The sequence below is a fragment of the Homo sapiens genome, chromosome X, assembly GCF_000001405.40.
Source record: "Homo sapiens chromosome X, GRCh38.p14 Primary Assembly".
Classification (NCBI taxonomy): domain Eukaryota; kingdom Metazoa; phylum Chordata; class Mammalia; order Primates; family Hominidae; genus Homo; species Homo sapiens.
Genome location: NC_000023.11, coordinates 30652855 through 30668125, shown reverse-complemented (window position 1 = coordinate 30668125; position 15271 = coordinate 30652855). Strand labels below are relative to the sequence as shown.

General features: G+C 41.4%; 1 protein-coding gene across 15 annotated transcripts in view, besides 1 other annotated feature; it reads right to left on the bottom strand.

The window, feature by feature from the left end:
- Positions 1 to 14703, bottom strand: part of GK (glycerol kinase) — a 78040-nt gene extending 63337 nt beyond the window's left edge. For 9 of the 15 annotated variants that reach the window (NR_174369.1, XM_011545491.3, XM_011545492.2 and 6 more), the window contains exons 1-3: positions 14511 to 14703; positions 2542 to 2615; positions 8 to 114 (exon numbers count right to left, since the gene is read on the bottom strand). Coding sequence is in view for 8 of the 15 variants with exons in the window: in XM_011545491.3 (XP_011543793.1) it covers positions 8 to 114; positions 2542 to 2615; positions 14511 to 14588 (259 nt within the window). In the remaining 7 variants the exon portion in view is untranslated. The remainder of the gene's footprint in view (positions 1 to 7; positions 115 to 2541; positions 2616 to 14510) is intronic. The other 6 variants (NR_174371.1, NR_174374.1, NR_174372.1 and 3 more) reach the window with 2 other exon arrangements.
- Positions 14614 to 15033: a silencer, noted in NCBI's record as "silent region_20725". NCBI's record gives its function as "represses an Ori minimal core promoter by ATAC-STARR-seq in GM12878 lymphoblastoid cells {active_cell/tissue: GM12878}" and the evidence as "EXISTENCE:reporter gene assay evidence [ECO:0000049][PMID:35858748]".

Here is a 15271-nt window from a genome sequence, read left to right as displayed (position 1 = left end):
AAAATACCTTTTATGTTGGAAATATCAATATTGAGCTGTCCAAGTTTCTCACATGTTTTCTCTATACACTCATAGACAGAATGTAGAATTTCCTTAGGGTCCTGTTCCACCCATCTTTGAACAAAAGAAGGCATTTGGTTAGTAAGAAAGCAACACAAATATAACTTTTTTCTATAGAAATGTTAACTTATGAGGGTGTGGCTGGTGCATACATTAAAGAAAACCAGATTAAGCAAAGCAAATTACATTCCACATTTTAAAGAAATGATTTCAAGAAAAGCCTATTTCCTTACAATTTTATTATTCTCCACATAGTAATTAATCATTTTCAAGGAGGCCACTAATGGCAGGCCACAAACAGCAAATATCTACCTATTTTAAAATTATTTTTCCAAGTCTAATAAGAAATTAGTTCCCCTTCTTTATATCCTGCAGATTTAATTAATTTTGATAAATTATCTGCATGTTTCACTAATCGCTGATTATTTCTAAGTAGATGGAAATATATTTATTATTATTGAGAATGATATATTTGGGAAGCAAAAGGAATTCTGAAAAGTCAAATAAGTATACTAGTCTTTTTTGCTACTTTTTTCCCAAAATGTTTTGTTGGAATTTAGGGAGAAATTTAAAACTCCTTTTAACTATTTCATGTAGATAAGTGATTGGTCCAAGTTCTCAGACCCAATCTCAGTATAATTTTGGTAAAGTACCAGGGCCTCAGAAGGATGAAAGGCTAATAGTAAATGAGAAGGGTGAGAAGCCTAGGAGAAATATGGTAATTTGAGGAAGTCCAAAAGTAGAAATGATACAAACTAAAATGATTCTACCATAGGATCCAGAAGTAGCAAGGGAATTCCAACTGCCTTTCTTCTCTGCCTTTCTCAGGCCTAACTAAATGCTTCCCTTTCCTGGGCTTTGAATTCTGTCTCTAACTAATTTTTTTTTAATTTTTTAATTTTTATTTTTTTTGAGATGGAGTCTCGCTCTGTCGTCCAGGCTGGAGTGCAGTGGCGCAATCTCGGCTCACTGCAAGCTCCGCCTCTCGGGTTCACGCCATTCTCCTGCCTCAGCCTCCCGAGTAGCTGGGACTATAGGCGCCCGCCACCACGCCCGGCTAATTTTTTGTATTTTTAGTAGAGACGAGGTTTCACCATGTTAGCCAGGATGGTCTCGATCTCCTGACCTCATGATCCGCCTGCCTCGGCCTCCCAAAGTGCTGGGATTACAGGCGTGAGCCACCGCGCCAAGTCGTCTCTAATTTATTTTTAAAAACCCAGTCTCCTTCTGTGTATTTATAATTTTCATCTAGCCAAGACTCAGGTATCTTCTTTACAAATTGCACTGGGTTCAGGCTTGTGGACAGTCATGCTAATGCCTCTAACATATCAATAACTTTTATTATTAAACAAAGGAACTCTAAAAAATTAGAACATTTTTTCATGTGAAGAAGACAATACAATTTAGAAACACATCAATTTTTTTCTCTCTTTCTTAAATTGAAGTAAACTTTACAGTGAAATGCACAAATCGAAAGCACACAATTTGCTGAGTTTTGACAAGTGGAAATACCCATCTAACCAACACCCCAGTCAAGATACAAAATATTTCCAGCAACCCAGAAAGTTCTTTCATGCTCCTTTCAAGTGAATCACACACCTCACAGACAACCACTTTTCTGATTCCTATCATCCTAGATTAGTTTAGACTATTATAAAATTTCAGATAAATGGAGTCATGCAGTATATACTCTTTTGTATCCAACTTTTTCATTTTCCATATTTCCAGTGACATTCCCTTGTGTTGGTGCAAGTATCTGTCCACTTTTTTAAAATTACTAAATGGCATTCCATTGTTATCCATCTTACTGATGACAGACATTTGGGTGGTTTCCAGTTTGGGGCGACTTTTAATAAAGTAGCTATAAACATTCATGTGCAAGTCTTTCGATGGGCATATGCTTTTATTCCTCTTGGGTAAATTCCTAAGAGTGAAATGCTGCAGGTGTATGGTTAGCTTTGCAATAACCTGCAACACAGTTTTTCAAAGTGGTTATATCATAAAAATCATTAAATTTTAAATAATATACTTAACATCATATTTAATCACAATTACTACTTATGAATACTATTCCCAAAAATGTGATTTTAGTATTAGATGTTAAGATATGTGAATACTTTTTTAAAAAGATACCTTTATTATAAAACAAACCTGACACTCAAATCAGCAAAGCAGCATTTTTGCAATAATAGGAACACAAAACTAAATGACTTCAAAGTTAATGTGAAATTTCTGATATTTAATACTCTTTTGCTTTATTACTTTATTATTCATTCCTTATCTTTAACTGAATTCCTAAGCCATCAATTCCTCACATGTAAGACATACCAAGTTATTGCATATTTTCTTGACTAATAACAACCTTTCAAATGTTTTCAGGAGGATGTCTGACCAAGTTTACTTTACAAATCCACAGGGCAAGTTGGGTGAGATGGACTAACAAACATAATGTGTCTTTACATATTAAATTAGGAAACATACCCTTCTCTTGGGAACTCTTGTTTTATTTCTACTTGATGATGACTAAGTAGTTCAGCTGTTTTTGAATTGAAAACCTGAAAAAGATATTGTAATATTAATGTAAAAATGCAGGCAGATATCAAGGATGTTTAAAGTTATTCAGTAACTGAAGTTCTTGTTCACTGGTAGAAAAAGTCCAATTAGATGAAATGCCATATAAGATGTTCCACTTTCTTTTCATATGGATTCATAAAAGATATAAGGCAGCATCAGAAATAACTTCTCTTTAGGTAAAAAGAAACCTATTGAAGATAAAGGTAAATTAAGAAGCAATTCCCTACTCCTTAAAAAACCAAAATGGTTCTCGGAAATTTAACACATTAATTAATAATATGGATTTATTTTACAGAATAGGAAAACCAAGAATAATAAAAGAGAGCTGATACAATACTAATAGCAATGGTGTAAGTTTCCACTCCATTTATCTTGGACGTGGAAACAGAAAGGGTCACAGATACTCAGGCACATAGACACGTACTGTGTAGATTCCTTTGAAGGGAAGTGTGGCTACGCATCTAGCTCTTATAAAAGAGAAATAGAAGACCAGACACGGTGGCTTACATCTTTAATCCCAGCACTTTGGGAGGCCAAGGCAGGCAGATCACTTAAGGTCAGGAGTTTGAGACCAGACTGGCCAACATGGTGAAACCCCATCTCTACTAAAAACACAAAAAATTAGCCAGGCGTGGTGGTGGGAGCCTGTAATCCCAGCTACTCAGGAGGCTGAGACAGGAGAATCCCTTGAACCCACCCAGGAGATGGAGATTGCAGTGAGCTGAGATTGAGCTCCACCCTGAGCGACAAGAGGAAAACTCCGTCTCAAAAAAAAAAAAAAAAAAAAAAGGCAATAGAGTCCTTGTTAGTAAAGGGATAAGTATATACTTGGCCCCATCCAGCTGAGTACTCTCTGTGACATGCTTGTCATAAATTGCTGACCCTTGATATAAAACATTAAAACCAATGGATGAAAACTAACAAAGAAGTGTAATACGATCCTCTACAATTTTAGCACTACTAAAAACAACACTTTTTAAAATATAGCAAGTTTTGCCGGGCGTGGTGGCTCATGCCTATAACCCCAGCACTTTGGGAGGCCGAGGCAGGCGGATCACGAGGTCAGGAGTTTGAGACCAGCCTAGCCAACATGGTGAAACCCCGTCTCTACTAAAAATACAAAAATTAGCTAGGTGTGGTGGCGCATGCCTGTAATCCCAGCTACTCAGAAGGCTGAGGCAGGAGAACTGCTTGAACCGGAACCCAGGAGGCGGAGGTTGCGGTGAGCCGAGATCACGCTATTGCACTCCAGCCTGGGCAACAAGAGTGAAACTGTCTCAAAAAAAAAAAAATCTATATATATATATAAGATATATATATATCTATATATCTATATAAAATATATATCTATAAAATATATATAGATCTATATAAAATATATATCTATAAAATATATATAGATATATATAAAATATATATCTATAAAATATATATAGATATATATAAAATATATATCTATAAAATATATATAGATATATATAAAATATATATCTATAAAATATATATAGATATATATAAAATATATATATAATATATAGATATCTATATATATACAGAGAGAGAGAGAGCAAGTTTTTCATATATATTGTTTCCATGTTATAGTATCTATATTTGAGTACCAAAGTACTTACTCTTACAGAGTAAGATGCATATTTTGATTAAAATTAACTTCCAAAATTACTCTAATTACAGCAGCGAAGTCACTTCCAATTAGTAAAGTGTTTCCATGCCTAGGTTTCCTGTGGGAGAAAATTACCTGTTCAATGCAGACTAAGAAAATAAAAAGCGTTGAATGTTGCCTTCCTCCTTCTATATCACACACGCCCCCTTTCCTCTTTTCTGGAGGAAATAATAAACATAATGAAAGCAAGAGGGCAAATTCTGAAGTCCTTTGAGAAGATAAAATATCTTACAAGTCAAAGGTTAACTTGATACATCATACACCATGTGATAGCCCTGTGATTTACAAGGTAGCATTAGGGTATGTCTCTAGGATACCAACTCCATTAGCATTAGGGTGTGTCTCTAGGAAGCCAGTTCCATTTGCCCTGTTTTATTCACTGAAGTATCCCTAGGAACTAGAATAGTGCCAGGCACAAAGTTGGTGCTCAATAAGTATTTGTTGAATGTCCAAAAAACATGATGTATTACATGTACTTATTAGGACAAAAATTATCAGATAAAATGAGAAACACTTATGTGCAGAAAAACTTCACTACAATAGGAAATTCCAGCTGTGTTACTGTTATTCATATTACAGCTGCTCCCTGCTACTCTCAAATCCCTAAAGGACTCTAGGTTAAGAAAACAAAGTATTGGCCGGGCGCGGTGGCTGACGCCCGGCACTTTGGGAGACTGAAGCAGGTGGATCACCTGAGGTCTGGAGTTTGAGACCACCCTGGCCAACATGGCAAAACCCCGTCTCTACTAAAAATACAAAAATCTGTTGGGCGTGGTGGCGCATGCCTGTAATCCCAGCTACTCAGGAGGCTGAGGCAGGAGAATCACTTGAACCAAGGAGGTGGAGGTTGCAGTGAGCTGAGATCACGCCATTGCACTCCAGCCTGGGACACAAGAGCGAAACTACGAAAGAAAGAAAAGAAAGAAAGAAAGAAAGAAAGAGAAAGAAAGAAAGAAAGAAAGAAAGAAAGAAAGAAAGAGAGAGAGAGAGAGAGAGAGAGAAGGAAGGAAGGAAGGAAAGAAAGAGAGAGAGAGAGAGAGAGAAGGAAGGAAGGAAGGAAGGAAAGAAAGAAGGAAAGAAAGAAAGAAAGAAAGAAAGAAAAAGAGAAAGAGAGAGAGAAAGAAAGAAAGAAAGAAACAAGGTGTCCCTTTTTGCTGGCTGAATTCATAAAAACCTCAATAGCAGACCTATGGGGCTCTGAATGGAATGAGACCCCTCTTCCATCACCTCCTAGTTTTAACTAGGGCAACGTCAGGGCCCTTATGCTAAAAATGAATTCATGGATCTTTGGAAGAGACACAGAAAACAGAAGGATTTTGGTAAATTCTATTTGCTGTATTAGACCATGAAGCCATCCAATCAAACAACATTTGGATGTACCAGGATGGAGCCTAGACCTCCCTACTTCATCAAAGCTCTGAAACTTAGGAGACTGACACCACCTTAGTGTATGTAGCCTGTCCAATAGAAATATAACCCAAACCAAAAACGCAAGCCACATACTAATTTTAAATTGTGTCATTAAAAAATAAAAAGAAACATATGAAATTAATTTTAATAACACATTTAAGCCAATATATCTATAAACTATTGTTTTGACATGTGATAGATATAAAATATTAATGATTTGTTTTTACTAAGTCTTTGGTATATATTTTACACTTACAGTCTACTCAATTCAGACTAGCCATATTTAAAGTAATCAGTAGCCACATGTGGCCAGTGGCTATTGTACTGGACATGAAGTTCTAGAGTACTTTTTTCCTCATATATCTAGGTTCACATGAAGCCTTCTGGCCATTGATTTGTCTGCAGATGGCCAAATGTACAAAGAAGGCTAATGATGTTTCCACAAGACTCTATGGTAGAGGATAATTAACTCCACATTAAAACACAGTACCCAGAGGCAAGAATGCTAGTCTGATTTTTTCAAGTACATTTCAGAAATCATTGTCAATTAAAGATAGCAGTGGCTGTATCACTTGCTTTATACAATGTCTAGCCTGGTCATTTGGTTTTTTGCTGGGGTGTTTGTCTGAGACAGGGTCTGGCTCTGCCACCCAGGCTGGAGTGCAGTGGCACAATCTCAGCTCACTGCAACTTCTGCCTCACATAGGGCTGTCAGGGCTATGAAGAGGAGAAAGGACATGTAACCCAGAATTATGAGGGTCTGAGAAGGGCTCTCAGAAGTGGTAACTTCTAAACTAAGACTTCAGGTTGAACAGAAGGGAGTCCATGCGGGACAGTGGGCATAGGACTGCAGGGTGTTCAGGTGGGCGAGGGTGCACAGTACTTGTTGATGAGAAAGGATTAGAGGGAGGCAAGACTGGGACAGGAAGAGCAGTTGCAATGTGTCTGCAGTCCAGGTGAAACATACAGAGGCCTCCACTAGGAGGGCCGCTGCGATGGGATTGACAGAAGTGAAGTGCAAGTGCAGAGAGATTCTTAATTCAGGAGGTACAAGCAGGAAAAAGAGCAACACCCAGGGATGACAAGTTACAGGTCAGTGCAACTGAGTAGGCAGTGTTTACCAGACAAGGGATAGGGTAGGAGCAGTAGCTTCCGGACAGGAACGCATAGGAGATTGCAAATTTTGTTTTAGATAATGTGTGTTTGAGATGTTGCTTGGGCACAGAAGTGGAGATATCCAGTCATCAGTTGCTTCTATTTTAGGTCATAAGCTTAAAGAAAAAGATCCAGGCTGGGCACTGTGGCTCATGCCTATAATCCCAGCACTTTGGGAGGCCGAGGTGGGCGGATCACGAGGTCAAGAGATCAAGACCATCCTGACCAACCTAGTGAAACCCCGTCCCTACTAAAAACACAAAAAATTTGCCAGGCATGGTGGCACGCACCTGTAATCCCAGCTACTCAGGAGGCTGAGGCAGGAGAATCGATTGAACCCAGGAGGCGGAGGGTGCAGTGAGCCGAGATCACGCCACTGCACTCCAGCCTGGTAACAGAGCGAGACTCCGTCTCGGAAAAAAAAAAAAAAAAAGAAGAAAGAAAAAAAAAAAATCTGTTCTCAGACTTTTGTGTGGGCCAGAAAGGTAGTTGACAACGTCATGCTTGGTGTGATGTAGAGGCAAAGAGCACACACAGACCCCGGAAGCACAGAGAGCTGGGGCACATCGAGCTCCAGCCCTGCCCACATCAGCTATTTGACACTTTTTTCTGAGCCTCTATGTTTTTCATTTGTAAAAGGATAATAAAGTAATTTATGAAGAGTATTTAGCATAGAATAGGCACAGAGTATACATCCAAAAGGTGTCAACACTATCATTGTTGCTACTACTGCTACTAATTTTATAATTACTTTTATTACAATTACTACTCCCACCACCACTAATAGATGACAGAATAAGGATTAGAAATCACTCATTCTGAATAATGAATATAGGAAGCCAGTCCTATATTCATCTCTAAACCCAAATCATGTCTCAATTCCAGATTTTGTTTTGGGTGAAGGGCAATTTAAAAAGGAAGAAACAAGGAAAGTGAACATAGAATGAGAATTTAGCTCCGTGCAGACACAGTATATACCCAAAAGATGTAACCACTACTGTCACTGCTGCTACTACTGCTATGTTATTATTATTATTATTATTATTACTATTACCTATAAGTGATAGTATTACAGTTGGAAGTCACCAGGTCTATATTCAGCTCTATGCGCAAACTATGACTCAATTCCAGATTTGGAGGAGGAGAGTAATTAAAAACTGAAAAAACAAGGAAAATTGTTTTTATAAAAAAGTGTTTGGCCAGGCCCGGTGGCTCACGCCTGTAATCCCAGCACTTTGGAAGGCCGAGGTGGGTGGATCACCTGAGGTCAGGAGTTCAAGACCAGCCTGGCCAACATGGTAAAACCCCATCTCCACTAAAAATACAAAAATTAGCTGGGTGTGGTGGTGCACACCTATAATCCCAGCTACTGGGGAGGCTGAGGTGGGAGAATCACTTGAACTCAGGAGGTGGAGGTTGCAGTAAGCTGAGATCACACCACTGCACTCCAACCTGGGCAACAGAGCAAGACTCCGTCTCAAAAACAAAAAATATTTAAAAATTAGCTTCTGAAACAACACATGTATTCTCTGCCTTATAAGAATGAGACTTCTGGGGAGCTGAAATGCTCTCTTTACTAAGTAACTGTCCTGTAGGCTTGCCTCACTCATCCTATGACTAATTCATCTGTCCTATCATAAATGTGCACATTCATTTCCCTCCCCATGTGATTTCCCCACTAGTCTACTCTTTTATGACACACTAAACTTTACCATGTGATAAGACATTATTCAGAAATGTAAACTTCCTCTTGAGAACACCATGATACTACGTAAATGTGAGTGACTGAAAATAAAAATATTAGCCACAAATATGTTCCATGCCAAATTTGACTAGAAAAGGCATCTTCCAACAAGCCACAGAAGTAAAGAAAACATAGCAAATGAAATTATGTTTTTCTTAAAAATGAAATTGGCCGAGCACGGTGGCTCACGCCTGTAATCCCAGCACTTTGGGAGGCCGAGGCGGGTAGATCACCTGAGGTAGGGAGTTTGAGACCAGCCTGACCAACATGGAGAAACCCCATCTCTACTAAAAATACAAAAAATTAGCCAGATGTGGTGGCACATTCCTGTAATCCCAGCTACTCGGGGAGGCTAGGCAGGGGAATCGCTTGAACCCAGGAGGCGGAGGTTGCCGTGAGCTGAGATCACGCCATTGCACTCCAGCCTGGGCAACAAGAAGAGTGAAACTCTGTCTCAAAAAGGAAAAGAAAGAAAGAAAGAAAGAAATTGTAGTAAATGGCATATACATACATCAAATAGAGCTATAGTTTCTGATTTTGACTTTTTCCAAGATGCCTCAAGTTTTATCGGTCTATTCTAATCCAAGTGTTCCAGTCAACACACTTGAGTCCTTGCAGGTCCCTTGCTGCTAATGTTGGTTCATGTAACATGTGTCTACCACATGCCAGATGCTGTGTCAGGCTTTGGGGAAGAAAAAGGACATGGTTCTATCCCTCAAGAAGCTCAAAATTGAAAGCTCTTACCACTTAGTCTTGTGACAGACAAGACAAGAGTGGGTGGCAGCTCTCTGTTGAGAATGTGTTCCTGGTACTTGTGTAATGTGATGGGCAAGGAAACAAGCAAATGTAGTGGAGAAAGAAAGAAACAACAAAAGAACCACAACTTGGCCGGGCGTGGTGGCTCACGCCTGTAATCCCAGCACTTTGGGAGGCCAAGGCAGGCGGATCATGAGGTCAGGATTTCAAGACCAGCCTGGCCAACATGGTGAAACCCCGTCTCTACTAAAAATACAAAAAAATTAGCTGGGCATGGTGGCGCACACCTGTAATCCTAGCTACTCAGTAGGCTGAGGCAGGAGAATTGCTTGAACCTGGGAGGCGGAGGGTGCAGTGAGCTGAGATCGTGCCACTGCACTCCAGCTTGGGTAACACAGTGAGACTCCGTCTCAGAAAAAAAAAAAACAAAAAGAATCACAACTCTACTTATCACAAGAGTGGCCTCATTCCAACTGTGAGCCAAATCAGTTTTACCAAAATTTATTGTTCATTAGTCCCTGGCCCATAATGGGTGCTTAATAAATGTGTTGAATACATAAATGAAGGAAAGAGGAAATCCATCTGTAAGCCTTATGAGATCTCTAAGTATGATGGGACAGCTGGGGCCAAGGGAATGCTTCCTGCCAAAACAAGCACTGAGCTACAATTCTAGTCATTCTTTATATGTATTGTCGGTTGAAACAAAATGATGATGCAACCATTATCCACAGTGACACACCTGAGCCCTGCCTAGGACCCACTGAATTTGAGTCACAAGATGATCATAACCCACAGTACTCATTCAAAGGCAATATTTTTTATAGATTGCAAAACCAATTTATAAGTATGTTTTTCTTGGTGAAGATTCATTCGTGATGATAATCAGAACTGACACTTGATTAATAGGTGAGAAGGTGGCCTCCCCCTTCTCTCATTTCCCCTTCACAGTACTCTACACAGCTGGGGAACCCAAGGCAGTAGTCAGGAGGACTGGTTTCAGAGTATAACAGACCTGGACTTGAATCCTAGCTCCACCAGTTACTCTGTGACCTTGGGCACAATCCTCAGCCACAGTCTAATCACCTGTGTAAAGAAGCTTACTAATACGATCTACATCACAGAGTTATGAGGATTAAATGAGATAATGCTGGAAAAGTCTTCAACATAGTACCTGACACATTTCAAGCCACAACACATTACAAGTCTTTTAAAAAATCATCATAGTGGGGAAAAAATTAAGTTACCAAATTAAAGAAGGAAGTTGATTGTTTAAGCTGAAACTTTTGTCTTACAAAGAAATGGCCCCTCCTTAAAACCTGTTACACTAATTCTCTTTCCAAGAAGTTCCTACTCTGCAATCTGAGTTACCATGTGCCAACCCCAATTCACTTTCCTATCAGATAAGTTGGAAATTTTCCGCTTGTACAAAGCATATGCATGGGGTCCCAAGATTAATTCTTTGACAATTTGATGAGGAAATGAACATGTTCTATTGTATGTCTACTACTAAAATGTAAGAAGAAATTAAGTAACCAAACGTACCCAAGAATGTTTTAAGAGGTAAGAAAGAAAACCAGAATTAAAATTCAGTTAACTTGGCTGGGCACGGTGGCTGACGCCTGTAATACCAGCACTTTGGGAGGCCAACGTGGGTGGATCACGACGTCAGGAGTTCGAGACCAGCCTGACCAACATGGTGAAACCCCGTCTCTACTAAAAATGTAAAAATTAGCCGGGCGTGGTGGCGCATGCCTGTAATCCCAGCTACTCAGGAGGCTGAGGCAGAAGAATCACTTGAGCCTGGGAGGCAGAGGCTGCAGTGAGCCGAGATCATGCCACTGCACTCCAGCCTGGGCTACAGAGCGAGATTCTGTCTCAAAAAAATAAAATAAAATAAAAAATAATTCAGTTAACTTATTAAAGAGAAATAAAAATCTACTCAATAAACATGTATAAAACACTCTCTGAACAGTCTTTAAGTGCTGTTCATCTTTGTATTTCATAAAACATCTTGGTCAACATGACAAATAGCTTAAAAGGAGGACCCTGCTCCCAAGTACAGCAGGTATACGATTATAATACAAGGGGGAAGGTAATAAGAGCTATTAATAGAAGTATTTTTAAAAGTGCTGTAGGAAGGGGGGGGAATTCTGAATAACGGTTTGAGGAAGACTTACACTAAAAGGTGGCAGTTGAGCCACTATTTAGAGGTAGAGAAGCGGATATGTGGGATAGAGGTGGAGGCATTTCCCTGGGATGAAAGAGCACAGATAAAGCCTTTTCTCCTTATGGGAGAAAGCTAATATTGCTAACAGAGAAAAAAGAAGAAGAAAGCTTGCAGAGATTATTGGTCTCAGGAAAGTCAAGTTAAATATGCAAATTTAATGAATAATAGGAAATTACTTAAATATCTTTAATTTTATAAGCTTCCTTATGACAGTTCTTATCCACTGTATTCTTTCCTGAGAGGTAAGCAATTATTTTTCAGTCATAATTACAACGTGGAGTAATATGACTGGAATAACTCCCGGGAATCATCTTGTGATTGAAGCACTTATTCAGCAAATCTTTTATCTGCATTTTGCAGGGAGTGGTTTAGCAATCTCTCTCCTTATAAACAAAGGAAAAAACACCTTGCTAAACCATTCCTAAGTTTTTCACTACTTCACACAGGATCTCTACGGTTTTTTTATTTGCCTCTAGAGCATGCTTTCATAGTTGTTTCTCAAGGAGAGGACAATTTTACTGATCAACTTTTATAAAATCATTCTCTAAGCAGGATAAGAATCTTCTGAATTTGCATCTTAGCTTACATGCAATGAGACGAGGCCTCACAGAACCCAGTAAACAGGAGCCAATTTTTGAAGGCTCATGTTGTTCATGTTACAGACTGAACAATTAATTGTGGTAATATGAAGTTGATCAAGTTCTTCTTCATTGATGTAGAAAGATGTCTTTTAGGCAACAAAACCTGAGGGACCAAGAACAACCTGTAGTGAATAAAGAAGATTGCTGGGCTACATGGACAGCAATAATGAACAGTCAAAAAGAAGGCATGGACAGTTCAAGCTGACTCCTAAAGGAAGCCTACAAAGTTATGAAATATTTTACCCATTTTCATATTGAGCAAAGGCTGTATAAACTTGAGAACATCTGCCATGCTTGGTTTGGCCCCCACAGTGCTTTATAAACTAATTGCCAACATTTAAGAATTGAAAGATTTCATTGAAAACTCTAGACTACCTGCTTTTAATCTGACGATCTGGCAGCACTGGGCTTGTGTTCCTGCTTGGCAGCTACTAGCTGTCCCCTTGACCTGGATATCTCTCTAGTCTGCCTTCCCCCTTCTACCTGCCTGGTCCCTGCAGGCATTTGTGTGGGCAATTCTTGAATATGGCTTTAAACATCAACCCACAGTTAGTTGGCACATGTCTTAATGGTCTTTCTTAAGTTGGGAAGATGATGATCGTGTATATTATGTATTAATCAAATCCAGTTAAGCAAACTTTCTTATGATTCAGGATTACTCTATAAACATTTCTATGAATATAAGACAAAGTGAAACCTGCCCTGGGTGATCAAAAGATAAACAGTGCAAGAGACAGTGGAACTATGCTTGGCAGCTCAAACCAGGGTAAGTCATTAAATAAGATTCAAACCAAAATTAGACTGAAAGCTTCTCACTTTAGACAAAAAAAGATATGTCAGGATCAAAGCACAAATGCAGTTTTTAGTCAAGTGCCAGCTCTGACAGAACTTTGAAAAAATATATACATTGTATGTATAATGCCTATGTATAAATATACACATATGTGTATATATGTACAGATATATACATACTAAATAACACAGGAAAACATGATTTGCGGTAAAGTGAAGAGCTAAATAATCATTAAATATTTACATCAACTTGCCAAGTTAGTCAAATATCCATTGAAAGCATGGGCTTTTATCAGCAGGCATTCATTTCAATTACTTTTATTTATTTTTTATTTATTTTTATTTTTTTGAGACAGAGTCTCGCTCTGTTGGCTAGGCTGGATTGCCCAGGCTGGAGTGCAGTGGTGTGATCTCTGCTCACTGCAACCTCCGCCTCCCGGGTCCAAGTGATTCTCCTGCCTCAGCCTCCCGGGTAAGTAGGATTACAGGCGCCCGCCACCACGCCCAGCTAATTTTTGTTATGCCAGGTTGGCCAGGCTGGTCTCGAACTCCTGACCTTAGGTAATCCACCCGCCTCAGCCTCCCAAACTGTTGGGATTACACGTGTAAGCCACCGCGCCCGGCCTCAATTACTTTTAAATTATCTTACTGAACTCTGTGCTAGGTCACTTTAAGAGCAAGTTTACTAATTGCACAAAAATTAATCAGCAGTCACTTAAATAGCAATCTTTTGTGGTAAAACTGTGCTGTCACACATGGTAAATAAAAAGAGAAACAGAATTTCCGTGTCGCATTATGCTGTGAAGCACAGTAAGGACAATCATTTGTTTGTAATGGGCAAAGTCTCAGAACTGAAATTTGCGAGTCTTCGGAATTAAATAAAGATTATGGCAAAACCAGTGTAGTGTGACTGTTTCCTAATTTGTTCTGCCACCCTCCCCAGTATTCAACCCTCTGCAATTTTTATGGGAGAGGATGACAACGCATCATCACTCCAATACTTTATTCGTTCTACTGCTGGAAAGGACGCTGTGTTAGCTACCACAGCCGTGACACAGCTTTCCCCCCATCCAAGGACGTCCTGTGTCTCGCAGGCCAAATGTTCCTGGGGAAGACCGCGGTAGCCGTCAATGTGGCCACCTGTCCCCTACTGCAAGCGGGCCGCTCTGCGCGGATGCTCGGAGAGTCCCTGCTCCCTTTGGGGGAAGAGTCACCCCATTAGTAGGTGACCCAGCTCCGCCACCAAAACTGCGACTGTTCAACTCGGCCATGGGGGTCATGAGAGGCCGAGGTCCCCCAGGCCTGGCTGGGGCATCCCCAGTGTGGCAGGTCCCGTTCCGGCCTCCCTCCTTGCCCAGCGGCCGGGGCACCGGGCCGGAGAGATGCGGGATGGGGACACAACAGCCACCCCCTCCGTCCCCCGACTCCCGCCCCGGCTCAGCGCCTCTTCACATGTCACCCCGGGCTCACCAAAAAGCGCGTCGAACTGGTGCCCTGGTCCACCGCCCCCACCAATGGCCCCAAAACTGCCTTCTTTGAGGCTGCCATGAAACCAGCTTCAGGTCGGCCGGCGATTGCGGCCGGTTTCCTGGGTGACGGCGGCGGGAGGGGGAGGGGCAGGTGACGAGTCCAGAGATCGAGGCCGCGCGCGTCCGCTGAACGCTCGGACCGCGCTCGAGGCGGCCCCTTTACCCGCGCGCAGCCTTCTCACCCCGCCCCTCCGGCCCAGGCCCCGCCCCCCACCGCGTACCCCCAAGGCTCCAGGGGCGTGTCAGGGGGGGTGGGGGTGGGCGCTGTCACCTGGGCTGGCCAATCAGCAAACGCAAAAGAGCCGAACGCTCGGACAGGCAGAGGGCGATGAGACGTCACGGGGGCGGGGCCTGGGCGCGGTGGAGGCGGCGGCCCGCGCAGTAGGTCACGTGGGGGCCCGGCGAGCGGACAGCAGAGCCATCCAGCTGCATGGCATGGGGCGGAGACGAGTACTGCCCTTTGGCAGGCAGCGCTCCTGGCCGGCGAAAAGAGCGCACTTCCACTAGTGTCCTGGGGCTCGCCTCCATAGGGGTCTCAAAGTGTGTAGAACTGCTTGTTCCCTCCAGTGGGCTGTGCAGAGTCGTGCAGCGACGTGAGTCGCTGTGTGGACCTACCCGGCCCGGCCTTCCCGCGTTTCCCACGCCCCGCCCACCTCCCTGCATCTGGCCCCTGGTAATCGTAATCATTCCTTTGGCTGGGAT